Below are 26,270 nucleotides of genomic sequence, written 5' to 3'. Positions count from 1 at the left end.
TCAGGTGCAAATATGAAAAGGGGGCATTTAGTCAGCTAAATAATAGCCAAGCTGTAGTGTGACAGGCTGGGGGCTTAGGTTGTTTTTCTTCTGCTTTGGGGTGGAGATGGCAGCAGAGAGTTCCACCCTTCTGCAAAACCTTGCCTGTTTTCTGGGAAGGCCAGGCGAGGTTTCCGCCTTGTGGACCGTTTAGTTGCAGTCAGAGGGATGTATAATGGGGCTAGAGCTGAACAATATGATAATGACAAGCCAGACCAGCAGTAGAGAGTGATGTATATTTTTCTTGGAAAGCTGCTGTCCATGTAGACAGCAGCTGACAGTAGGTGAGGGGCAGCAGTTAGTGGCAGATCATTTGCCTACTTGCACGCTACCCCTTGGGTGTGCTCCTTCCGAAATACTGTGGGTCAGGGCAGGGTGAAAAGGGTGAAAACTCAAAACAAGAGAATGCACCAACAAAATGTACCCTACTACACAGCAACATGCACCATTCAGTGCTGTTTACATCTTTTCAAACTTTCAGCTTTTAAGGCTCACTAATACTTCTACATAGTAAAGCTTTTTGCATTTTGAGGTGTTTTGTGGTTGCCTTATGGGGCTGGTCCTCATGACCGCCTCTGGAGGAAGTCAGAGCAAATTTTGCCATCCCTTTAGACGTGAATAAAGCCCAGAATGGTTAAGTGAGTTCCAGAGTCACACTGATCGTGAGTTGAAGACGTAAAACAATCATTCCGTTATTTGTTTATTCATAACTATTTACTGAGAGCCCTACTAAGTGCCCAGCCCTGGGGATGCTTCTGTAATGTCTCTGTTTTCATGGAACTTGGAGCTTGGATTCTAAAGAGGCTGATAGAAAAAAAAAGTAAACAAATGAAAGAACCACCAGTTACAGTAAATGCTACAAAGGGAAGACAAACTAAGAGAATGCTGAGAGAAAAACAGGGAGAGGAATGGGGCAACTTGGAGAGGTTGGTTTGCAAAGGCTTCTCTGAAAAGGACATGTTTATGCTGAAACTTGAAGAATGAGATGTAACAAGAGCGGGAGGACATTTCCGGCAGAGGGAGCTGTATAAGTAAAGGCAGATGATTGGAAGAGCACACAGCCTACGTGGGCCACGCAAGGAGATGGGTGTAGCTGGTGCCCATGAGAGGCAGAGAGCATGGTTTGAGATAAGAGCACGGTAAGGGCCTCCCACCTCCCTCGCCCCCAATGTATCCCTATGTCCAAGGGGAATTTTGTCTTCACCTTTCAGTTCCTCCTCCTCGTGGCCCTCTAATGAGGGTCAGTTCAGCCAGCCCATTCCAAGACTTCGTGCTGTGGCATCAGGAGGTCTGGGAAGGGGGATGAAGAAGAGAGACAGGTCTGGGAAGGGGGAAGGAAGACAAATAGGTTTCAAAGACAGGGACCCTGAAGCCTGAATGTCTGCAAAAGCTGGAGTAGAAAGTTGAAAATGAAGAATTGAGAAAGAGCAAGGGGTCAGAGTTTCCAGGGCCGCTGCCAGCCACAGAAAGAAGGCCGGTCGGGTGGACGGGAGCCTCTTCAGTCTCCTTCAGAGATAACTTAAGGCTTTGTCTCTGTGCTTCTTCTGACAGGCTATTGCTTAAAGACTGAATGACATGGACCCCAGAGTTTATGTGAGTTACTGTAAAAATCAGGGCTTCACTCCCAACTGAGAGCCTTGCAGAGTGAGGAGTTTCTCTAGAGACCATCTGATAAATGCGGGCTCCCACACGCAGAGATGTGAGCTAGAGCCGTGCAGCAAATAATATATATTATTTTCTTCTCCGCTTAAGGTCCAAATTGTCTGGTGTAACATCTTTGGTGACCATTCCATTTGGGAATCCTAGCTTACTGGATGGAGCTGTGTGCGTTGTGAGGTTGGCCCTTGTTGTGCCTGAGCTTAGAAGAAGGAATAGCAGGGGTAGTAATCATTATGATAAGCACTTCTTGAGCACTCACTACATGTCAGGCACCATTCTGAGCATATCACATGCACGGGTTCTTTTAATGTGCATAACAACCCCACAGGATTAGTAGGTGCCATTTACATCCCCATTTTACAGATAAGAAAACCAGGGCACAGGGTCTCAGAGTTAGCAGGTGGCATTGCTGAGATTGGAAATCAGATAGTTTGGCTCCAGAGCTCCTGCTCTTTAGCACTGTGGAGGTGACTTGAGAGATGCCCTAAGTTCCAGCCCAACCACAGATACCACCCCCATTGGCCATAGTACATGACTAAATGTGACAATTACTTATTCAGCATTTATTAAAAGCACAGTATTGTCCTAAGCACTTTACATGTAGTATCCCAGTGCATCTCCTTATCAACTCTTTTAGATAGGTACTGTTATTCTTCATCTTTTACAGAGGAACAAATTGAGGCTCAAATCAATAAGTAACTTGGTAAGAGTCTCCCACTTAAAACATTGGTAAAGTTGAAATCCAAATCTAAGCATCCAACCCCAGAGCCCAAGCTCTCAACTAACCCTGGTCACTTTTTTGAGTAAGGACTTTGTATCTCTCAAATGCCCCCTATTAAAATGAACCTCAGCCATGTGGGAGCAGTGTGATATTTTTTTTCCTGCCCCTAAAGCATGTTGAAGATTTGGGGACAAGTTTTATTGAAACTCCCCAAGGCACTAGCTTTCACCCTTGGTGGTAATTTTCTAGTGACTGCAGATGCCTCATTAAACGAGTTCAGGCACACTGATCTCCTTAATTCAGTTTCTTCCAACTCCCATCTTCATTCTGCCCTTGTCTTTGAACTCCTCATGCTTTGTCTCAGTGATCTCCTCCACTACCAGCTGTTAACATCTTCTGTATTGGGATGAATCCCTGACACACAACTTCAGCCCAGACCTGGCTCCAAATCTCTATGTCCTTCATTCCACCTGCTCCAAGACCTAGGCACCTGGATTTTCCCTAGTGTAGCTGAGGCTGGCGTGCCCCACCCAGATCCCACGGGGTCTTTTTTCTACCCCCATTTCCAAGCCACTGCCTGCATTGCTGCAGGTAAAGGCTCACATCTGCAGCCTTCTCCTGAGGCTTGCCCTTGAGGAATGGGAGCAGCCTCACCCAGACTCGTACTCCCCACCTTCACCTGACCTCAGATACTGATAGTGTCTGTTCCAAGAATCTAGTGCAACTTCCTTAGACTAGCAATCAATACCTCCTGCACCTGGCAATAACCTCGCTGTCAAATCTTCACTCCTGCTCAGCTGCAGAGCAGCTCCTCGGCCCTTAAGAGTTCCTCTGCCTTCTGGCCTTCTTGCCTTTGCTCACTCTGCTTCTGTTTGGAATGTCATCCGCCCTGCTTCCAACTGTCAAAATTCTACACATCCTCTGAAGGCTAGTGACACTGCGCTTCTGCCCATGAGGCATTCCCAAATTGTGCTTGCCCTTGCAATGTGGGTTATTGCTAGTTATGCATGGGTCTCTAGTCAGCATGGTTTGTATTATAAAAGGTCAAGAATGAATCTGATTCTCTCACCTATCTCTAGTTAAGGGTTCAAATGTGTACCCACCAAAGGGTACTGAAGTCTTAACCTTCAGTACCTGTATGACTTTATTCAGAAATAGGGTCATTGCAGATGTAATCAAGTTAAAATGAGGTCATTAGGGTGAGCCCTAATCCAAGAGAAGAGAGACAGACACAGACTGGCACAGAAGGAAGATGATGTGAAGACACACAGGGAGAACACAGAAGCAGAGATTGCAGTGACGATGCTCGCATGAGCCAAGGAACTCCAGATCTGCTGGCAAAACCAGAAGCTCAGAAAAAGGCATGGAGCAGATCTCCCCTAGAGCCTTCAGAAAGAGCACAGCCCTGCTGACTCCCTGGTTCCAGACTTCCAGCCTCCAGGAAGGAACTGCGAGAGAATAAATGTCTGTTGTTCTAAGCCACCCAGTTTGTGGTCCTTTGTCACAGCAGCCCTAGGACACTAATATATTAAGTATCTCACACAGTGCCTTCCACAGAGTACGTAATGGCAAAGGTTTGTTGAATTCACGTGGGGGTGGAGTATTTCTCTCACTAGCTTTTTTTTTAAACAAGCTATTTACTGTTTATTGTAACATGCCTTGCACTATGTTGATAGAATCTCTCAGATTTCCTAAACCTTTTGTTGTTATGCCATACCTATACAATACCCAGCCCCCACTTGTACATTCCATATGTACTCTTTTCTCTTTTTTCTTCCTTCCTTTCTTTCTTTCTTCTTTCTTTTAATTTGTTTTTTTTTTTTCTTTTTTGGTCTCCCTATGCTGCCCAGGCTGGTCTTGAACTCCTGGGCTCAAGCAATCCTCCTTCCCTGGCCTCCCAAAGTGCTGGGATTACAGGCATGAGTGGCAGTGCCCAGCCATTCCATATATATATGATGCAGAAGAGCGCTTACACCAACCTAATAGTTACTTAATGTTGTATAACAAATCATGGCAAAGCTTAGTGGCTTAAAACAAGAGTCATTTATTACATTTCACAGTTCCTGTGCAGCAGCCTGGCTGGGAGGTCCAGACTCTGGACTTCCCATGAGGTTACAGTCATCTATCTGAAGGCTTGACTGGGGCTGGAGGATCCACTTCCAAGATGGCCCACTCACACGGCTGGCAGCTTAGTGCTGGCTATTGGCAGGAGGCCTCAGTTTCCCTGCAGAGGCTGCTTAAGTGTCCTGATGACATACATGCTAGTTGGCTTCCCCCAGGCTGAACCATACAAGCAGAGAGCAAGACAGGAGCTAGAAAGCCTTCATGACTTAGCTTTGAAAGTCACAAATCATCATTTCCACCATGGTATACCATCTACACAGGCTAGCCCTGATTAAATGTGGGAAGGCATGAATGCCAGGAGGTGAAGATCATTGAGGGTCATCTTCATTAGTCAAGGCCATGCAATCTCAGCAGGGCCAATACCATCCCAACCAGGCAAAACATTCATTCTTGGAAGGAATGAAAAGAAAATTACTCTTTTCATGTATAAGCAAAGATATACATACTGTACATAAACAGATACAGAGTATATCTGCGGTGCTAAAATTTCATGGTGAGGGGAACAGACAATAAAGAAAAAAATTGTCTAAAAATTCTTGGGGGTGATTTTTTTTTTTAATTTAAAAGTAAACTTTAATGTCGAAAACACAAACTTGGGGAGGGCAGAAAGATCACACATAAGGCTGCCACTTCACACCTGGAGGGTTGCACAGCGGCCGGGCAGAAGCGCTCCTCACTTGCCAGGCGGTGCGGAAGCTGGGCAGAGGCGCTCCTCACTTCCCAGACTGTGGGGCGGCCGGGCAGAAGCCTCCTCACTTCCCAAATGGTGCTGGGCAGGCGGACTCCATTGCTAGATCTGACTTGGGTTCAAGCCTCTCCCTTCTGCCCTCATCTGGACATGCTGACAGCCTGCGCTCTCCCTCCTTTGGCACGGGATGAAGACTGAAGCCTGGCAAGGCCCTGCCCTCAGCAGGAACTCCCCCTGGGCCCCACTCTGTGACCCTGAGCCCAGGCCAGGATCCTTCCTTTACTTTCTCAAGCCACTTTGGGCCTGCCCAGCTCTCTCAGAGCCCTGTCATGTAGGTGACAACACTGTTTTTTGTTTGTTTGTTCCTTGTATCTTTAGTAGAGGCAGGGTTTCACCATATTGGCCAGGCTGGTCTGGAATTCCTGACCTCAGGTGATGCACTCGCCTCAGCCTTCCAAAGTGCTGGGATTACAGGCGTGAGCCACCGCGCCCGGCCCCCGTTCCCACATTCTTGGTGTATGTGCTGTCATCACATTCAACCCCAACCAAACCTTGAGTGGGTAGCCTCTGCAGGGGACCACTCGCAACTGGCCTGTAGTTACGGTCCCCTGCAGAGCCCTCGCAGGTGGTCCAGATGTGCCCACTGGCCCTGCCCCAGGTGCGTCTTCCCTGCCCCTAGCCTGCTCTGCCTGATGTGCACTGCACTCAGCTCTGCTGACTCCCAGGGGGCCTCCGTCACACACCGAGCCAGCCTCATGAGCGGTCTTGGTAGGTGGTGTTCAGGGACAGGGTAATGGGATCCAGCCCTTCCTAAGGTGTACCTGGGCTGCGACTCAGAATGGATGTTCAGAACAAAGAGATGCAACTGTGAGTGACCCCACAGGCCGACCGTCAACCAGGCCTTGGCCCTAGTCCATCGGGCACTCAACCCTTGCAAGACGTGGACCCGCTGATGCCCAACGTGTGAACGAGTACCTGGAAGCCTCACCCCACAATGCTAGCATGGCCAGAGAAAAGGATCTGCCTGCCTCTCCCCCACCCAGGTGTGGCAGCTCCTGGTGCCAGTTTCCCAGGAGCGTGGCCAGGCCCCGAGTCTCTCCATCACAGCTGTGGCTCTGGCTCCTTCTTGGAAGTGGGGAGGGGCTCACTCCCCATGCAGCCGCCACTGCTGCTTCAACATCTGTAGGCCTGCATGGCCCACTCTCTCTCCTCCCCCACAATCCGCTGGTAGGCCAGGGAGGCAGTCAGAGGCTGGAATACACCTCGGGGGCTCAGAAGCATCCTCAGCATCTGCGATCTCCTGCCAGGCTGGTCCTTGCTTACGCTCCTCCGGGGCCTGGTAGTCAGCTCTGGGTGCTGCAGGACAACCTCACCAAACTTCACTGCGTCTCGGAGCAACTCCTGCTCCAGCCTGTCTGCCATCTTTTCCTCCTTTTTCTGCCAGACTTTATCTAGTCGTCGCTTCTGGAACACTTTTTTTGCTTTTTTCAGCTCAGACTTCTCCTTGGGAGCTGCCTGGACCTCTGGCTGCTGGGTGGCCTGGTTCTTGCTGAGGAATAGCATGTGCTGGATAAGGCCTAGTCGGACTCCCCCTTCCTCTGCTTGAACTTGGGGACGGCAATGTCGGGCTCCACTCCCTTTGCTTCCTTTTCCAGTGTCTTTCTGAAGCCCACCTGGGCCGCTTTCTTCCTCTTCTTGTTACCGGTCGGATTTTTCATCTCCCAGCGGCTCCTCATAATCTCCCGGAGCTGGAAGGGGATCTCCTGTTTGTCCTGGGTTTTGGGCTTGCAATTCACTTTCTCCTCTTTGCTGTGAATCCTGGACCACGGGGCTGGGCACTGCTTCCCCAGCAGCTGCACTTGCTGCCGGCTGCTGCTCCCGCCGGGGACTCCCAGGACCCGCCGGCGCCCTGGGCACCGCTGCCCCACCTCCAGCTTGTGCCATCCCCACGCTGGAAGCTTCCCTAGCGAAGCCACTTCCACATTCCTCCATTTTTTAAAGTGATTAAGAAACACTGGCTAAAACTTTTTCAGTTGTAAGCAATAAAACCCAATTCAAACTGACTTACGCAAAAATGAAGTTCAGGAGTCTGGACTTCAGGTATTGCCAGATCCAGAGGTTCAGATACTATCAGCAGTGCTTTTTCTATCCATATTACACACAGACTGTCTCCAAGTAGCTGTCCGTGAGGGCTCCTATGAGTGTCATTTACATCTTACTGCCAGCTATCTGGGAGGATTGTGAAACACTGCCCAGCTCTAACAAGCCTAGATTAGACAGCAGTGTAGGCGCTAAGACTCCCACGTATATGGACAGAGAAGATAAAAGACCTTCAGCCATTTCACAGTGCTGCCTGGGGAGGGCTCATTTTCTCCTCATATTCTAGGAGAACAAGAAAAACAGGGCTTCGTAATCTGGTAGGTATAAATTCAAATCTAAGATCTACCAGTTACTAGCTCTGTGATCCTTAAAGTTCTTGAAGCTTTGGTTTTTCATCTGTAAAATGGAGGTAGTGGTAGTCACCCGTAAGATTGTTGCTAGGATTAGTTGAGACCATGCATGTAAAGTTTCCCACAGAGCACCTGCACATGCTATATCTAAAAGAGGAGAGGAGGAGGAGGAGGATTGTAAGTGGGGGATGCTTATTTCCTGTTTCCAGAGAGGGGAGGACACCTGCCCTCTCCAAATGTTTTCTGCTCTTGTGTTGTTTTGCTCAAGGTTGAAATCCCCAGGATAGAAACTCAGATTGGCCAAGCTTGGGTGATGGGAAAGGACAGGTGAAGTCAGTGCACCTTGCTTGACCCACCAAGACCACCCAAATCGGGGTGGAGTGGTTCCCCAGAGGAAAATTGGGTGCTGTTAGGAGAAAGGAGGGGGCAGACACTGGGTAGGAAAAGTTGCAGATGTCCACCGCAGGCATCCTTCGATGCAGTATGCCAGGAAGCCCTGATCCATACTTTCTTCCCCTCACCCCCTTGTGTCTATTTTCTCCTCTAGTGGGATCTGCAGAGAAGGAGGAGTAGGTGATTGTGGCTGACACAGTCAATTGCCTCCCCCAAGGACCTTTCCCACCTTCTTTTAGCTGGCTAAGTTCAAGAGTTGACCATCTCTGGCCTGCTCTGCCTGATGTGTGCTATGTGCTCGGCTCTGCTGACTCCCAGGGGCCTCCATCACAAGGCGAGCCAGGGTCATCAGCTGTCTTAATAAGTGGTGTTCAGGGACAGGGTAATGGGACCCAGCCCTTCCTAAGGTGTACCTGGGCTGCGACTCAGAATGGATGTTCAGAACAAAGAGACACAACTGTGAGTGACCCCAGGCCCCACAGGCTGACCGTCAACCAGGCCCTGGCCCTAGTCCATCGGGCACTCAACCCTTGCAAGACGTGGACCCGCTGATGCCCAACGTGTGAACGAGTACCTGGAGGCCTCACCCCCACGCTGCTAGCATGGCCAGAGAAAAGGATCTGCCTGCCTCTCCCCCACCCAGGTGTGGCAGCTCCTGGTGCCAGTTTTCCAGGAGTGTGGCCAGGCCCCAGGTCTCTGCATCACAGCTGTGGCTCTGGCTTCTTCCAGGAAGTGAGGTGGGGTCGCTCCCCATGCAGCTGCAGCTGCTGCTGCTTCAATGCTCTGTAAGCCTGCACTGCCAGTTCTCTCTCCTCCCCTACAATCCGCTGGTGGGCCAGGGAGACAGGGGCAAAGGGCTCCTCCCCAGCCCCAGGAAGGGGATATCACTTGGACTCACCAGATCATGGTAATTCCATTGCCAGCAACTGTGGGTACATGACTATTATAGCGAGTGGGATTTAATGGAATACCCTCTGGGCACCTCTGGGAGAGTTGTTCCTCCTGAATAAAAAGATACATGGGCCAGGCACGGTGGCTCCTGCCTGTAATTCCAGCACTTTGGGAGGCCAAGGCAGGTGGAATACTTGAGGTCACGAGTTCAAGACCGGCCTGGTCAATGGTGAAATCCCGTCTCTACTAAAAATACAAAAATTAACTGGGCATGGTGGCACAAGCCTGTAATCCCAGCTACTTGGGAGACTGAGGCAGGAGAATTGCTTGAACCTGGGAGGTGGAGGTTGCAGTGAGTCGAGATCATGCCATTGCACTCTAGCCTGGGAGACACAGCAAGACTCTGTCTCAAAAAAAAAAAAAACCGCAAGGAAGAAAACCCCATCTCTTCTTCAGGCTGATGTTTCTGGGTTCACATGTGATACGTGGAACAGTGGCAGCCTTCAGCCTTTCTGGAATAATGAAGAGACAAGCCCAAGAACAAAGCCAACATGATGAGGATGGCAGGACAGAAAGACGGGGAGAGGCTAATCCTTATTGAAGTCAGTCATTGGCTGAGCTATCCATGGATACTACCTCCAGACTTCCTTTGATGCCTTACTGCCTAAACTACATTCAGGTGGGTTTACTCATACCCTAGCCAAAGCATCTCAGTGATACATATATATGCTCATCTATTTCTAAATCTCCAACAAGGGTAAGGAAGCCTTTTAGGTCAGTGGTTCTCAAAGTGTGGCCCCTGGACCAGCAGTATTGACATCACCTGGAAACTTACTAGAAATGCATATTCTTGGGCCCCATCCAGTTCTTGTCAATCTGAAAGGGAATGGGTGCAGCAGCAATCGTGCTTTCACAAGCACTCCAGGTCATTGTGATGCATGCTACAGTTTGCCAACCTCTGCTTTATATACTACTCTGTTGTCATACTGATATCAGAACTGACCACTGGGAGTGAGAGCACCACTCATTATTCCATCCAACTTACCTTTTTCTATCATTGCTTCATTTGATTCTGCTATCCCTAAAACAAACAAACAGAAAAACAAGAAAAAGGACAAGGAAAAAAAAAAGGGAGAGAAAGAGAGAGACAGAAAGGATTTGAAAACCGTTGGCCAAATAAACCTTTTGCTTTGAGTTTCAATCTGCTGACTCTGGGTCATCAGCTCCTTCCAAAAAAGACTTTGGGTGTCTGCAGAAACCTGTAGTTACTAGAATGTGGTGGACATTTCCAAAATATTTAGAAACACTAATAATCACTGTTATCAATAATGCTCCATAGGGATCTCCCTTGAGCTACTGGAAGTGAAGTTAGCAAGGAACTTAGAGAGGCGTGTACTGCCTGGGGTGAGCAAAGAGAATTTGGAGGGACAGAGGAGCCCTGAGAATAATGTTAGAAAAAAAAGGAATGAAAAACTTGCTGCAAAAAGGAGAAAAGAAGGAAAGAAAGAAAAGAAAAAGAAAATGATTCTCATCAGGGAAGCCAGTGAAGATGGATTTGTTTTCCAGGACTCAATACATTTAGACAAAGGAGCGCAGAGAGGAGATCCAGGTTTAGGGGTGGTTTGAGCAAGGTGTCCAGGAGGGAAGGCAGGGGCACGTCTGGACACCTGGGCAGCCATGGATAACGGAGAGAACAGGTCGTGGGAGTGATGCTGTGTGGGAGGAAGAATGCCTCCACAGGATTAGACTCTGGCACCACCCCCTACTAACTTTGGTCTTAGGCAGCTTCCCGAGCTTCTCTAAGCTTCAGTTTCCTCAACAGCCAATGGGCTCAGTGATTCTTATCTCACAGCTTGTTGGAAGGTTTACATAAATCAACGTACTATGATCTGAACTGCATATCCCCCAAATTTATATGTTGACGCACTAACCACCAATGTGTCGAATTTGGAGATAAGACTCTCGGGAGGTAATTGAGGCTAGATGAGGTCAAGGGAAAGGAGCCTCCATGATAGCATTGGTGGCTTTATAAGAAGATGAAAAAACAGAGAGAGAGAGAGAGAGAGAGAGTTCTCTCTCTTTACCATACAAGGACACCACAAGAAGGCAGCTGTCTACAAGCCAGGAAGAGGGCCTTCACCGGAACCAGAATCAGCCAGCACCTTAATATTAGACTTCCAGCCTCCAGAACTGTGAGAAAATAAATGCCGGTTGTTTAAACCACCCAGGCTATGGTATTTTGTTATGGCAACCTGGACTGACTAATACACAAGGTATATTAAGGACCTTGCATAGTGTTTGGCTCATTCTAAATGCTCAATAAATAAATAAGATTCATAACAATGAATATATTAATTAGCAATAAGTTAGGAAAATGAGATTGCCAAGGTCTTTGAATGACTAAACTGAGTATGTAATTTATTATCTGGACCATGGGGAGTTTCTGAGCAGGAAACAAAAAGAGGAAGCATATGTGTGCATAGCTCTGAGGTCAGTGTGACAATAGGGCATTACATAAGGCGGGATTCAGCAAACGTGAGGGTGCGTCAGGATCACTTCGAGGGCTTGTGAAAATATAGGTTGCTGCCACCTCTACTTTCTCTTTCAGATTCAGCAGGTCTGGGAAGGGGTTCAAGAATTTGCATTTCAAGTAAGTTCCCGGGAGATGCTGATGCTGCTTGTCTAGGGACCAGACTTTAAAAGAGGGAAGAAGAAAGATAAAGAGAGAAAAAACAGACAGAGACATTAGCATGACCTTTGGTCTGGAATGGCAGCAGAATGCTTGCTCTGCAGACATTCAGTCCACACTGTGATGGATGACGGAGAACGGAGGTGGTGCCTGGAGCTGCCAAAAGTAATTGCTTCAAGCATTGCACGCAATTATGGCATTGGTTTTTTTGGTTTTGTTTGGCTTTAAGGGTAAACCACTATAATTAGAAAACTTGCAAAATCCTGACTTACAAAGTGAGCAGATTTTCAAATCAGAGAAACTTCGTTTTCATGCCTTCTCCAAGTTGTGGATCACTGCTCAGAGATGACTATTTGGGGCCGGTTGCTAAGACTGTTACTAGTTGCAAGGTAATATCATACACAGTGCTGGTAAGGTCAGCTTGAGCTGCAGGCCCATTAGGATGTTTGGTTGAATGTGTGATGGTAGGAGTGAGATGGTCTGGTTTTTTTGTTGTTGTTTTTTTTTGTTTTTTTGTTTTTTTTTTTTCTGATTTTTCTTAGGACCCTGAGGTGAACATATGTGGTTTATTCCACATAGTGCTTATTTCTTCTTTACATTTGTACCTGCACTCTCCCTTTATCTTTCTTTGGGAAAATCCTTGTCACTGCATACTTCTTCTTCTTCTTTTTTTTTTTGTTGACAGAGTTTCACTCTGTTGCCCAGGCTGGAGTGCAGTGGTGTGATCTCAGCTCAGGCCAACCCCTGCCTCTGGGGTTCAAGTGACGCTCCTGCTTCAGCCTCCTGAGTAGCTGAAATTACAGACACGCATCACCACACCCAGCTATTTTTTCTATTTTTAGTAGAGACGGGGTCTCGCCTTGTTGGCCCTCAAACTCCTGACTCCAGGAGATCTGCCCACCTTGGCCTCCCAAAGTTTTGGGATTATAGGCATGAGCCACCACGCCTGGCACACTGCATACTGCTATATGGTGTCTGTCAGGCTGCTAAACTCCTCAGTCTTCCCGTAAGCCACAAGGTTGGCCATGGGATCGAGGTCTGCCCAATCCTAGTGTCTTCTCCCTTCAGACCCTGTGACTGGGCTAAGGAAGCTTGTGACCAGACCAGCCTATCAGAATCCTTCTCTGGGATTCATCCATAAACCAAAAGTAAAATTCTAAGTCCTCAGCCATTTTGATGGACCCCATCTCTTGGCCAAGGCATTCCAAAGTTAACCAGAAAAACTAGTTCAGGCCATGATGGGAAGAGGGAGTCAGACATGCTTCACCAAACCGTCCTCCCCTTTTGGAATTCAGGCTCACCTGACCAGCATTAACATCAACTCAACCTTAAGACTGATAGAACAGACGTTTTAAGTGTGATAAGAAACATTTACAATCTATTCTGTCTGCAGCCTGCCACCTGAGGCTTCATCTACATGATAAACCTTGGTGTCTACAATGCCTTATCACAACCCAGACATTCCTTCTGTTGATCCCAGGTCTTTAGATAATAACTCTTTCAACCAAATGCCAATCAAAAAGTCTCTGAATCTGCCTATGACCTGTGAGCGCCCCCGCTTCCAGTTGTCCTGCCATTCCAGACCGAACCAATACACATCTTACATGTATTGATTGATCTTCTTATGTCTCCCTAAAATGTAGAAAACCAAGTTGTAGCTCAACCACCTTGGGCACATGTTCTCAGGATCTCCTGAGGGTTGTGTCACAGGCCATTGGTCACTCATGTTTGGCTAGAATAAATCTCTTCAAATATTTTACAGAGTTTGACTCTTTTTGTTGACACACCTTTGGGCACCAGAAGAGAGAAATCACTGTTTCCTTGGACGGCCCTAAGATGTGATGATGTGAGTGAAGGATGCAGTTCACCCAACCCCATAAATGAATGGAGTCCTCTTGTAAGAGGGAATCAGCCCCAACCTACAGAGAAAAGAGAAGCTAAGTCTATGCAGGGGAGGGAGAAAGGGGGAAAGGAAGGAAGAAGAGATGGGGAGGGAGGAAGGGACAGTGGAAAAGAGGAAGGCAAGGGGAGGGAAAAGAGATCCTTGTCATTCGATTCACTAGCATCCCAAGGCTAATACCACATTCAAATTTTCACTCGCATGAGTCAAAAAAACTTCCCCATTTTACTTAAGCTTTGAGTTGGTTTCTGGCACTTTTAACTGAAAAGGTCTGAATAATAAAGTTCATCAATCCACTTGTAACCTAACTTCTAGAATTCAGGTTGTGCTGGGAAATTGCTAATTCAAAACTCAAGTGCCTACATCAGCGTGGGAAGGAGTCCTTTGGAGCTGTCTGAAATTTCAGGGCATTGTCCCCATTGGAAGCTTTGAACATTACACTTAGAAATGCTAATGAGAAAGAGAGAAAAGAGGGAGAGAGAGAAGGTTTAACCAATTTTCAAAAGCCAAAGTCAGTCTTTTTAGGAGAGAAAGGGGAAGAAAAAGGGATGGAAGACACTGGGAGTGTTTTTAGTGGCTGAGACAATGGAGGGTCTTCCTTACCAGGTAGTGAGGAATTTTTCCTACAAAAAAGACACGAGTGGCTTTTGTATTTGTAGACAGGACTAACCCTCCTGGGGGTGAGCTGATCAAGGTGAAATTATATAACCTATACAGTTAACTAAAGTGAATTCATCTCCATGCCCTCAGCAAGAAGAGTGAAAAAGAGGGCTGACATGGTGTTGGTTCTGCCCATCCTCACCTGCAAGGGGCATGTGAGAGCTGAAGTAATCAGATTTACTTCCTACCTCTCACGGTGCAAGCACCTCACTGTGCTAGTGGGCATTTGAAGGGATTTTCCAAATGCACCTTTAACTGTACACAATTTTCATCTTTGTAGAAATTTAGAACCCGACTCCCTAAATAACATGAGACATCACCATCACAGGCCTCATATTACAAGCCTGTACAGAGGGTGTGTGTGTGTGTATGTGTGTGTATGTGTATGTGTGTGCATATGTGTGTGTCTCAGAATATATCTGATGGTTATTTGAAGCTCAGTATTAATAAGCTATATAATAACTGGGTTCTATAGTATTTGAAATCAAAATCACTTTTAGATTCCTCTAGGCTCTTGTAAATGATAAGTACATCAAAATGCCTTGTGATGGCCTTCTGGGAAAAAATCCTCTCAGCCCAATTTACCAGGCAACTTTTATCCCATTGAATAAACTCGAGGCTCTAAGGCAGTGACTCTGCCATCAACAACATATATGAAAGCCTGCACTTTGTGGTTGGTCTGTTTTGTGTGAGGTGGGCACTTGCTGTTCTACTTGCCCAGTGGCACTTTTTAATTGGAATGATTTTTATTTGGTCTGATTTCCTGAAATAGAATACATCGCCTGCTTTAGAAACCCCAGATAGTCTATCAGCACAGACAGCAAATTGTCCTGGGGTTCTTGGCTTAGCTGTTTGTGGGGAGAAAGACTGCTGGGCAGGGTTTTGGCAGGGGGCAGTTGTAGCATATTCAAATCAGATATTGAAACAGTTTGTGTGTGTTTAGGAAGTAACCACAAATTTGACATGCCACCTCCACCCCAAACCCCAAACTGGTTCCATTCCAACAGGCAGTAGTCTCAAAGACTCTCTTAAATGGTTCATTTCTTCCTATTTACAACTCCCACAGTGAGCTGTTTTTTTAAGGGGAAATCAGTTTCTATGAACATCTAGGGCCCTGAGTGGGTCTTTGCTCTTTATTTGTCCTGCTTTGTTTAAACCAAAGAATACCTCAAGCCAGTAACCAGGCGAGCAGGGGCCTGTGACAGGCATGGTCACCTGAAATCCATTTATGCACAGGGATTGAAGGAGCAATCATATTCTAAATAAGGCTAATGAAGCTTTTTGTGAAAGCGCCAAAACCCACACACAAACGTCACCCTTGGCGTGTTCTCATTTCCACGGAGCAAAAGCAAAGGGGAGAAGGCTTACTGGGAAGCTGCCGCTGGCACATAGAATTAAGCAAAGGCTGTCCCATAGGTGTGCACAGCGGGCTTCTTTTCAGAGGGAGGATGAGGAGGAGGCAATGTGGTTCTTGCATACTAAGGGACTCAGTGTACTGCTCTAGGTGTGATTTTTCTTTTCTGTCACAATTGAGCCCAGTTTGAATTTCTCCCCTTACTTTCTTTTGGTTCACTCTTTTCCTTCATGGTAATCTTGCTGCTTAATGACCCTGGCCCCAGGCTTCCAAGGTAACTTGCCAAGAAGTTCAAGTTTACTTCTGAAGTCCATGGCTCTCACTTCCTCTTCCTTCGTCCCTCACCGCTTCTCACTTTTCTCCTCACACCTCCCGCACAACATCTGAAATATTCACTACCTCCAAGCGGCCCCGCTTTTGCAACCCACCCAAGCCTGTCATTTGTTTAAACGCTACTACTTATTTGGGTTTTGGCTCTGGGCCAGTCATCAGCAAACATTTTCTGAAAAGGGTTAGATAGTAAATAGTCTCAGCTTTTGAGCCACACTGTCTCTGTTGCAACCCTTCACTCTGTTATATCATGTAAATAGCCATCAACAATATGTAAATGAACAGGTAGGTGTGTCTGTGTTGCAATAAAACTTCATTTACAAAAAGAGGCAATAGGTTTGATTTGGCCTGATGGTCAAATGGAGTGAGTCCATGTGACATATGCAGGAAACTCACAAGGCTTTTAAGAATGGTATGTGCCCCAAAACACTGCCAGCTTGACCTGAAAGGGACAGAGAGAACAAAATGAAAGAAGGTTGTCAGATCACCAAAATTCTACAGACAGGAAACAGGTGGGTGAAACTACAGCTGCAAACAAGTATTACCCTTTATGAAGAAGGAAAGATGACTGTGAGAGCAGACCTTATAGGCTCTGAAGGCAGAGCTGAGAGCCATGCCTTGAAACCTAATGGAGTTTTTCTGGTTGGATTTAGAAAACATTTGGGACCAGGGACTCTTTTTTTTCTTTCCTTCTTCTCTCGTTTTGAATGGGAGTGCTGTTACCCTGGTGGAGTGTGTTTCATTTTGTATTTTGGGAGCAGATAATTTCTTTGCTAGCTTCATAGGTCCACAGATAGAGAGAAATTGTGCCACACACTGGACTATACCCAGAGCTTCACCCATGCCTATATTCGATGATTTATGTGATGAGAAATGAAACTTTTGACCTGATAAGACTTAGATGAGATTTTGGATTCAGGTTGATTGCTGTAATGGGTTGGGAGTTTTTAAGAATGGGTCAATGCAGTTGAGATAGACATAAAACTTTGGGAACAGACAGCATATTTTTGCAGGTTGAACAATGGCCTCCAGGCCAGCACGGTGGCTCACACCTGTAATCCCAACACTTTGGTAGGCTGAGGAAAGAGGATCACTCGAGCCCAGGAGTTCAAGACCAGCCTGGGCAATATAGTGAGATACTGTCTCTTTTTAAATTAAATAATAATAATAATAATGGCCCTCCAAAGATGTCCATATCCTAATCCCTGGAACCTGTGAATATATTACTTTCCACTGTAAAAGGAATTCTGCAGATGTGATTATGTTGAGGGTCTTGAGATGGGGAGGTTATCCTGGTGGGCCCAATGTAATCAGAAGAGTCCTTGTGAGAGATCAGCAGAAGCATCAGAATCAGAGAGAGAAGATGTAAGGATGGAAGCTGAGGTCAGAGAAAAGAGAAGATGCCACACTTCTGGCCTTGAAGCTGGAAGAAGGGACCACAAGCCAAGGAATGCCGGCAGTCTCTAGAAGTTGGACAAAGCAAGGAAGCAGATTTTCCCCTAGAGCCTCCAAAAGGAAGATAGGCTGACACCTTGATTTTAGCCCAGTATTTTTATTCCAGAACTATAGGATAATAAATTCACATTGTTTTAAGCCCACTGTGTTTGTCGTCTGCTGTGGGAAGTCAGGGACCCCAAATGGAGGGACCGGCTGAAGCTGTGGCAGAAGAACATAAATTGTGAAGATTTCACAGACATTTATCACTTCCCCAATCAATACTCTTATAATTTCCTATGCCTGTCTTTACTTTAATCTCTTAATCCCATCATCTTCGTAAACTGAAGATATATGTCACCTCAGGACCCTGTGATAATTGCATTAACTGCACAAATTGTTTGTAAAACATGTGTGTTTGAACAATATGAAATCTGGGCATCCTAAAAAAGAACAGGATAACAGTGATTTTCAGGGAACAAGGGAGATAACCATAAGATCTGACTGCCTGTGGGGCCAGGCAGAACAGAGTCATATTTCTCTTCTTGCAGAAGGCGAATAGGAGAAATATCGCGGAATTCTTTTCCCAGCAAGGAATAAACCTGGGAAAGGAATGTATTCCCAGGGGAAGGTCTGTAAAATGGCCGCTCTGGGAGTGTCTGTCTTATGCGGTTGAAGATAAGGGATGAAATACGCCCTGGTCTCCTGCAGTGCCCTCAGGCTTGCTAGGATTAGGAAATTCCAGCCTGGCAAATTCTAGTCAGACAAGTTGTCTGCTCTCTAACCTTGTTTCCTGTTAACATGTTTATCAATGACAATGTGTGCCCAGCAGGACATGGAACCTCATCAGTAATTCTGATTTCGCCCTGGCCTTGTGATCTTGCTCTGCCACTTGTCTTGTGATCTTTTATTGCCCTAGGAAGCATGTGATCTCTGTGACCCACTCCCTATTCGTACCCCCTCCCCTTTTGAAGTCCTTAATAAAAACTTGCAGTTTTGTGGCTCAAGGGGCATCATGGAACCTGCCGACATGTGATGTCACCCCCGGAGGCCCAGCTATAAAATTTCTCTCTTTTGTACTCTTTCTCTTTATTTCGCAGACTGGCCAACACTTAGGGGAAATAGAAAAGAACCTACATTGAAATATTGGGGCTGGTTCTTCCGATAGTGGTCATTTGTTATAGCAGCAAAAGAGACTAATACAGATTTTGCCATCCACTGATCTAAACATAAACTATGTGAGGGACTTTCATGCATTACCTTCTCCAGTCCTCACAACACCACTTTGAGGCAGGTATCAACAATATTCCCACTTGCAAGAGAGAAAATGCTGCTTGCAGAGATTGATTCAACAGTGTAGTTTATTGAACTTCAAAGCCCATGTTTCTGTCATATTGCTTGACTCAGGCAGACTTCCATTTTCCTTATTTCAGAGTGCCTCCACAACCCCCCTTAATGTTTACCAGTCCTGGGTCCCAATCTCTTGGAACTTTTTCCTCTGTTCCTATGCATGTGTTTTTCATTCACTCAGCCTACAGTTTCTGAGACCTACCAAGTACCAAGCCTTGGCTTAGGTTCCAAGATAGGTATATAAAAAAGATGCTTATTCCAGGCTGGATGGGGTGGCTCACACCTGTAATCCTAGCACTTTCAGAGGCTAAGGCAAGTAGATCACTTGAGCTCAAAAGTTCAAGACCAGCCTGGGCAACATGGCAAAATCTCATCTCTACACAAAATATAAAAACTAGCCAGGCATGGTGGTGCGTATCTGTAGTCCCAGCTACTCAGGAGGCTGAATTGGGAAGGATTGCCTGAGCCAGGGAGGTTGAGGTTGCAGTGAGCAGTGATCATGCCACTGCACTCCAATGTGGGTGACAGAGCAAGACCCTGTCTCATATATATATATATATATCCTCTCTCTCTCTCTCTCTCTATATATATATATATATATCCTCTCTCTCTATATATATATATCCTATATATATATATCCTATATATATATATATCCTATATATATATATCCTATATATATATATCCTATATATATATATCCTATATATATATATCCTATATATATATCCTATATATATATATCCTATATATATATATCCTATATATATATATCCTATATATATATCCTATATATATATCCTATATATATATCCTATATATATATCCTATATATATATCCTATATATATATCCTATATATATATATCCTATATATATATCCTAAATATATATATCCTATATATATATATATCCTATATATATATATCCTATATATATATATCCTAAATATATATATATCCTATATATATATATATCCTAAATATATATATATCCTATATATATATATATATCCTCTCTCTCTATATATATATATATATATATCCTATATATATATATAGCCTATCCTAGAAGAATCAACATCCCTCTCTCTGGTATTTGGGGATGGGACCTTTGGGAGATAATTAGATTTAGATGAGGTCATGAGCATAGAACCCTCATCACAAGATTCATGGCGTTACAAGGGGAGGAAGGGTGAGCTCTCTCTCTCTCTCTCTCTCTCTCTCTCTCTCTCTCTGCTGTCTGAAGACACAGCAAGAAGGTGTCTGTCTGCAAGCCAGAAAGAGAGCCCTCATCAGAAAAATGAATCAGTAGGCACCTTGATCCTGAATCTCCCAGCCTCCAGAAATGTGAGAAAGAATTGTCTGTTGTTTAAGCTATTTACTCTATGGTATTTTGTTATTGCAGCCTGCGAAGATGCAGACAATCTACAAAGCAAAAACAAAACCCTAAAAACAGCACTTGGGCTAGTAGCTGAAAGAGGCTTACACATTTGTAATAAGTGGGCTAAGCAGGAAGCAGGACAGCATGGATTGGTAGGCTGACTCTTAGATGGCCTCAAGGATCCTCACCTCCTGGTATGTCTGCCCCTGTGATCCCACTGTGTGATGGTGGGTTGGCCAAGCAACTTGCTTTTAACCAATAGAATATAGCAAAGGTGATAACGTGTCACTTCCATGATTATGTTACATAAAATTGCAATGTCCGTATTGCTAACAGTCTCTCTCCTTTGCTAGACTTGTTGAAGCAAGTTGCCATGTTGTGAGCTATCCTACAGTGAGGCTCAACTGGCAAGGAACTGAGGGTGACCTCCAGCTGACAGCAAGTAGGGACCTGAGGCTCTGTCTTACAACCTAAAAACAACTGGATTCTGCCAACAGCCATGTGAACTGGAAAGTAGCTCAGTTGAGCATTCAAATGAGACCTCAGTCCTGGCCAAAACCTTGGTTGTAGTTATTCAGAGGACCTCCTAAGTTGTGCCCAGATTCCTTACCTACAGATACAGTGAGAAAACAAATGTATGCTGTTTTAAGCTGCTAAGTTGTGATAATTTGTTATACAGCAATAAATAACTAATGCAAGTTGAGAGCATGGGTTTAGACTCATTGAACAAACATTGTGGGTTCAAATTTTGCCTTGACTGCTTACTCTTGTAATCTTGGGCATGCCACTCAGAGGCTTAGTTTTCTTATGTGCGAAATAAGACAATACCAGAGCCTACCACATAACAAGTATTCAATTATTGCTAGCTGTTATTATTTTTTAAGTGCTAAGGAATCACAGAAGAGGGAAATTTAATTTTCTCTGAAATCAGAGCAAAATAATTAAAACTAACACTTGTATTGGGCTCTCAGATTTACAAAGGCTCACATAGGAATTACTGATTTTAATCCTTACTGTGGTGTTTCCTGACTATGGGCAATTTTGTTTCCCAGGAAATATTTGGAGATGTTTTTGGTTGTCACAACCGGTAGAAGGTGCTACTGGCATCTAGTAGCTGGAGAATAGAGATGCTGATAAACATCTTGTAATGCACAGGGTAGTCTCCCTACACACATACACACACACACACACACACACACACACACACACACACACACACAGAATTATCTAACCAGAATGTTGATAGTGCTGAGGTTGAGAAACTGTGCCTTAGTAATCTTGTGAGAGAGGGTGTGCTTATCATGCATGACTCCTAGATGAGAAAACTGAAGCTAAGAAAGGTTGAATTACAGAATGTTGAGGTTGGGGGTCAAGTAGGTGGTATGTGGCAGGGCTGTAGAAGGCTTTGCCGCCAGGCCCCAAATGCATTGCTTTTTCTTCACCCCAACTTGACCTACTAAGCCTGTCTGGAGGCCCACTGATTTCAGCCCAGAGACAATGAACAGAATGTATCAGCCTACAGGAGTAATGGTGAAGGCTTAAGGCATTGGGCCAGGTCGGGACAGAATTTGTTCAGGAGCAGATAGATTCAATCCTACTTGGTAGAAGGGTGAGATTAGAGTGGAGGGGCCTATTCCATCAGAATCCAGAGACATTCTTGCCTATGTAAAAACTCTGTATTCTTATATAGAGATATCTTGATATTCTTTTTCAACTCTTGAGATTTCGAGCTAACAAAGACATTCATTCAACCAACATGTTTGATCATTGTTTCTGCTTAGACATCATTAAGACCTTCCACGGAGCTGGCATTTTACAGTTCCAATTGTTCCCCAATAGTAACCCATATAAACCTCTCAGTAGACAGTTGTGTTCCCATTTGACAGGTGAGGAAACTGAGCCTTGGAGAGGAATGCAATTGTATATCAAAGGGCACAAAGTTTTCAAAGGGCAGAGCTGGGTTCTAAACCCGGGCTTTTAACATCAAGTCCACATTAACTTCCACGCTAGCACTGAGCTCCCTATAACGGAGTTTGGGATATTTGCAGGAAGGGAGTGTAAAGCATTTCCTATTTTCAAGGAATTTGCTATTTAAAGGAGGAAACAATTGTAGTAGGTGAGTAAAATTAAAAGGAGAGTGAAAACACATACTTAAAATGGTTTCAAACAACACACTCCTGGGAGCACAGGGGAAAAAACAAAAAAATAGTTCTCAGGGGTGGGGCTGGGGGAAAAGGAGCTGGAAAGTCTTCAGGGAAGAGGTGACACTTGAGCTGTGCCTTAAATTGCAGGCAGAACAAAAAGCCAATGCCCCAAATCAAACAATAGATTCACTTGTTAAAAGTGATTACTGCCTCCAGATGCTGAAAGAAAAAAATTTCTAATTCCACTGTAACCAGTCCTCAGCGACAGAGCCTTAGGATTTCACGCATGTTCTTATTATTGCTCCTTTTTCTCCTTGCATGATTCGACAGCCAGGCAGCCTGCGTTCTATGCGCTTCTGATCAGGGCTGAAGATCTGCTGCATTTGGCTTGTCTTGTGATTTATTTTGCGGTGTGATTATACTAAGTTTATGAGACAAGAATCTTATCACCACTATCAGCACTTTTGCTTTTCCATTTTCGTTCATTTTTACAAAATAATAAGAGCAATGAGCTCCTAAAATAGTCAAATAATCACACAAACCAACACTCTACTGGGCAGACAACAACAGCAATGTGAAAAATGGAACCCTTAGCCAACAGACCACACACTCGGATGCCATCGTTTGAAGCACTGATTCAACTGTTGAAAAACAGAAACCCAATTTCTGCATGTGAAGGGTGATTCGGGCCTCTCAAGGCAGAAAGCATAACTGTACAGGTGACATAATATATTCATTTATTAATTCACTTAATAAATATCTACTAAAGACCTTTTCATTTCCAGACATTGTTTCAGGAAATGGGATATAGCCATGAAATTGACATATAAGGTCCCCATCCTCATGGAACCTCCAGACTAGATGGGGAGATGGACAAGAAGTAAGGTAAATTCAGGCTGGGTGCGGTGGCTTACGCCTATAATCCCAGCACTTTGGGAGGCCGAGACGGGTGGATCACTTGAAGCCAGGAGTTCGAGACCTGCATGGCCAACATGGTAAAACCCCTTCCTCTACCAAAAATACAAAATATTAGCCAAATCTCAGCTACTTGGTAGGCTGAGGCATGAGAATTGCTTGAACCCAGGAGGCAGAGGTTGCAGTGAGCCAAGATCATGCCACTGCACTCCACCCTGAGTGGCAGAGTGAGACTTTGTCTCAATAATAATAATAATAATAAGGTAAATTAAAATTGTGATAAATACTACGTAGGGTCACCAGATCAAATACAGCTGCAGTCCCCAAAGTTTTTGGCACCAGGGAGCAGTTTGGTGGAAGACAATTTTTCCACAGACCAAGGGTGAGGGCCCAGGGGGATGGTTTTGGGATCATTCAAGTGCATTACATTTACTGTGCACTTTATTTCTATTATGATTATATTGTACATTCTACAACTCACCATAATGCAGAATCAGTGGGAGCCCTAAGCTTGTTTTCCTGCAACTAGACAGTCCCAACTGAGGTGATGGGAGACAGTGACAGATCATCAGGCGTTAGATTCTCATAAGGAGCCAGCAACCTAGATCCCTCACATACGCAGTTCTCAATAGGGTTCGTGCTTCTATGAGAATCTAATGCCACTGCTGATCTGACAGGAGGTGGAGCTCAGGCGGTAAAGCAAGCGATGGGGAGTGGCTGTAAACACAGATGGAGCTTTGCTCACTCACCCGCTGTTCACCTCCTGCTGTGAGGCCCAGTTCCTTACTGGGAGTTGGGAACCCCTGAAATACAGGATGTCCAGTTAAATCTGAATTTCAGATAAACATCAAAATTTTTTTAGTGTATGTACATCCCAAGTATTGCATCCTAGCTGCAATATTGTATTTTTACTAGCTAACTCAGGCAACCTGAGCACTAAGAAAATAAATGGTGTAACTGGAGAGTTATATCACACAGGGCTCCACCACAGAAAAAGAACCAGTAGAATATATTAAGAGATTTATTGCAGAGAATTGTCTTGAGCAGGTATAGGAGCTGGCTAGGCCAGTCTGAAATCTGTAGAACTGGCTATCAGGAAGGATGGCTGGAAGTCTTGAGCACAACTGAATCTGCTGTTGAAAGACAGAATTTCATCTTCCTCAGAGAAACCTCAACTCTAGTTTTAAGACCTTTCAACTGATTAGGTCAGGTCCACCCAGACTATGGAGAATAATTTTCCTTACTGAAAGATTATGGACTTTAATCACACCCACAAAATACCTTCCCAGAAACACCTAGACTAGTGCTCCATTGAATAACTGGGAGCTATAGCCTAGCCATGCTGACACATACAACTGACTGTCACAGATGGGAAAGGGAGGGGTGCCCACACAGGGAAGGCTTCTCTAAGAGGTGGGGTCATTTGAATTGATACGTGAACATTGAAACACTGAGCATTAAACTGCCATTCTAAGAGCCATGAGATGAGAATATTCCAGATGGAAAGAAAAGCAGATGGAAAGGATCTCAGATGGGAAAGAATCTGTCTTATTTTAGGAACAAAAGGAAGGTCAATGTGTCTGGAGTGGAGTGATCAAGGGGCACAGTGGTACCTGAGTGAGTGGGAGAGGAGGACAGAAGCTGGGTTGTGCACAGTGATGTATAAAAGTCAAGTTTATAGAACTCCAGATTACTACTTATTACTACTTATAAAAAGATGGTGATGGTTAGAGAAATTAGAGCAGGTCTCTGAAGAAGCTTCTACCTGAGTATTTCTGGGTATCAAATTGGTATAAAGGTGTCTATTTGCTGGCTCAAAAAAAGTGCTTAAGGCATGGAACTTAAGAAAGCCTGAACATCACCAAATTGAAATGATCTAGGACTCCATAAAGTCAGACCATCCCTTATTATTAGGTTGGTGTAAAAGTAATTGTAGTTTTTGCCATTGAAAGTGATGGCAAAAAAATTATTGTTTCAGAAAAGCAATCTTCTCAAGAGCTGAAGAACAAGCTTAATAGCTGGGGAACCTCCATGGGACATCTCCAGTCTAGAGGTTTTCCTTAACCAGTCTTTGCATTCCAGGGCCTTTTGAAGGCTAGAGTTGTCAGATGGCAAACCAATTGTTTACATGAAGCCGCTCAATATGAGTCAACACTTTCTGTGTCTTGGGGACTTACAACTTGCTTAAGGAAAGATTGCAACAATTTTCCTTAAACAAACAACAAATCAGTTTTACATATTGATACTGAATTGTAATTCCACAGACAGCTTTGTCTCCTGGCTATTGTAAATATGTTTGTGAACCCTCAGTATTGGTGATGTGCAGAAAACATTATTACCTAGGCCAGCTGGAAATTCCTGATATCAATAACTTTTCCGAATTTGCCTGTTGCCTACAACTTAAACCAGGATTCCTCCAAACTGGATAAAAGAACTTCGGGAAAATCACTTATTTTCTCTGAATCTAGGTTTCCCTATCTATTATGGGAAAAAATGAAGATTTTTCAACTCTCTGAGTTATCTTTTGACCCAGAAATTCTGGTTCCATGAGAATTCTGTAGATAATATGTAGATTATCTCCAGTATTTTGTTTCAATTCAGTAGACAGAAGAGGCAAGAAATGTTGATACCTGTTATATGTCATGTGCTAGAGCAATTTTGCTTCCTAAAATCTTCATGATGGATTCTTCCTGTTCTATCTCCCCACCCCCACTAATAATCAAATAATGATCTATTGTAGCACAAAAAATTACCCCTAAAATCTAGTGGCTTAACACAAAAAAAATATTTACTATCTCCACAATTTCTGTGAATTAGGAATTTGAGACATAGCTGGGCTCTGGCTTAGGGTCTCTCATGTAGTTGCAGTCAAGATGCCAGCTGGGTCTATGGTCAACTGAAGGTTTAACTGGGGCAGGAGGAGCACATGGCTGTTGGTGGAAGCCCTCAATTTCTCACCATATGGCCTCTCCATATACTGTTTGGTATATCCTCATGACATGGCAGCTGGCTTTTCCCAGAATGAGTGACCTAAGAAAGAAGGAAGCTTAAGTGTGTCTTATGATCTAGTCTTGGAAGTCATACATGATCAGTCTCATTATATCTACTGGTTAGAAGTAAATCAGTAAGTCCAGCCCCACACTCAAG

At 44.7% G+C, this 26,270-nt stretch overlaps 1 long non-coding RNA gene and 2 pseudogenes across 1 annotated transcript in view, besides 7 other annotated features; 1 reads left to right on the top strand and 2 right to left on the bottom strand.

Moving 5' to 3' along the window:
* LINC00877 (long intergenic non-protein coding RNA 877) overlaps positions 1 to 26,270 on the top strand; it is a 64,937-nt gene that overhangs the window by 6,391 nt on the left and 32,276 nt on the right. The window lies entirely within an intron of this gene.
* Positions 5,471 to 6,188: an enhancer, noted in NCBI's record as "H3K4me1 hESC enhancer chr3:72137028-72137745 (GRCh37/hg19 assembly coordinates)". NCBI's record gives its function as "activates a minimal SCP1, AML or CMV promoter by ChIP-STARR-seq in naive and primed H9 embryonic stem cells {active_cell/tissue: H9 hESC(naive and primed)}" and the evidence as "EXISTENCE:reporter gene assay evidence [ECO:0000049][PMID:30033119]".
* Positions 6,189 to 6,905: an enhancer, noted in NCBI's record as "H3K27ac-H3K4me1 hESC enhancer chr3:72136311-72137027 (GRCh37/hg19 assembly coordinates)". NCBI's record gives its function as "activates a minimal SCP1, AML or CMV promoter by ChIP-STARR-seq in primed H9 embryonic stem cells {active_cell/tissue: H9 hESC(primed)}" and the evidence as "EXISTENCE:reporter gene assay evidence [ECO:0000049][PMID:30033119]".
* On the bottom strand, positions 6,207 to 7,205 carry CCDC137P1 (CCDC137 pseudogene 1; annotated as a pseudogene).
* CCDC137P2 (CCDC137 pseudogene 2) lies at positions 8,778 to 8,956 on the bottom strand (annotated as a pseudogene).
* Positions 11,605 to 11,704: an enhancer, noted in NCBI's record as "active region_20070". NCBI's record gives its function as "activates an Ori minimal core promoter by ATAC-STARR-seq in GM12878 lymphoblastoid cells {active_cell/tissue: GM12878}" and the evidence as "EXISTENCE:reporter gene assay evidence [ECO:0000049][PMID:35858748]".
* Positions 12,045 to 12,114: a silencer, noted in NCBI's record as "silent region_14525". NCBI's record gives its function as "represses an Ori minimal core promoter by ATAC-STARR-seq in GM12878 lymphoblastoid cells {active_cell/tissue: GM12878}" and the evidence as "EXISTENCE:reporter gene assay evidence [ECO:0000049][PMID:35858748]".
* Positions 15,407 to 15,456: an enhancer, noted in NCBI's record as "active region_20069". NCBI's record gives its function as "activates an Ori minimal core promoter by ATAC-STARR-seq in GM12878 lymphoblastoid cells {active_cell/tissue: GM12878}" and the evidence as "EXISTENCE:reporter gene assay evidence [ECO:0000049][PMID:35858748]".
* Positions 15,577 to 15,706: an enhancer, noted in NCBI's record as "active region_20068". NCBI's record gives its function as "activates an Ori minimal core promoter by ATAC-STARR-seq in GM12878 lymphoblastoid cells {active_cell/tissue: GM12878}" and the evidence as "EXISTENCE:reporter gene assay evidence [ECO:0000049][PMID:35858748]".
* Positions 15,777 to 15,866: an enhancer, noted in NCBI's record as "active region_20067". NCBI's record gives its function as "activates an Ori minimal core promoter by ATAC-STARR-seq in GM12878 lymphoblastoid cells {active_cell/tissue: GM12878}" and the evidence as "EXISTENCE:reporter gene assay evidence [ECO:0000049][PMID:35858748]".

The sequence above is a fragment of the Homo sapiens genome, chromosome 3, assembly GCF_000001405.40.
Source record: "Homo sapiens chromosome 3, GRCh38.p14 Primary Assembly".
NCBI classification, from domain to species: domain Eukaryota; kingdom Metazoa; phylum Chordata; class Mammalia; order Primates; family Hominidae; genus Homo; species Homo sapiens.
This window is presented reverse-complemented; position numbering and strand designations above follow the sequence as displayed.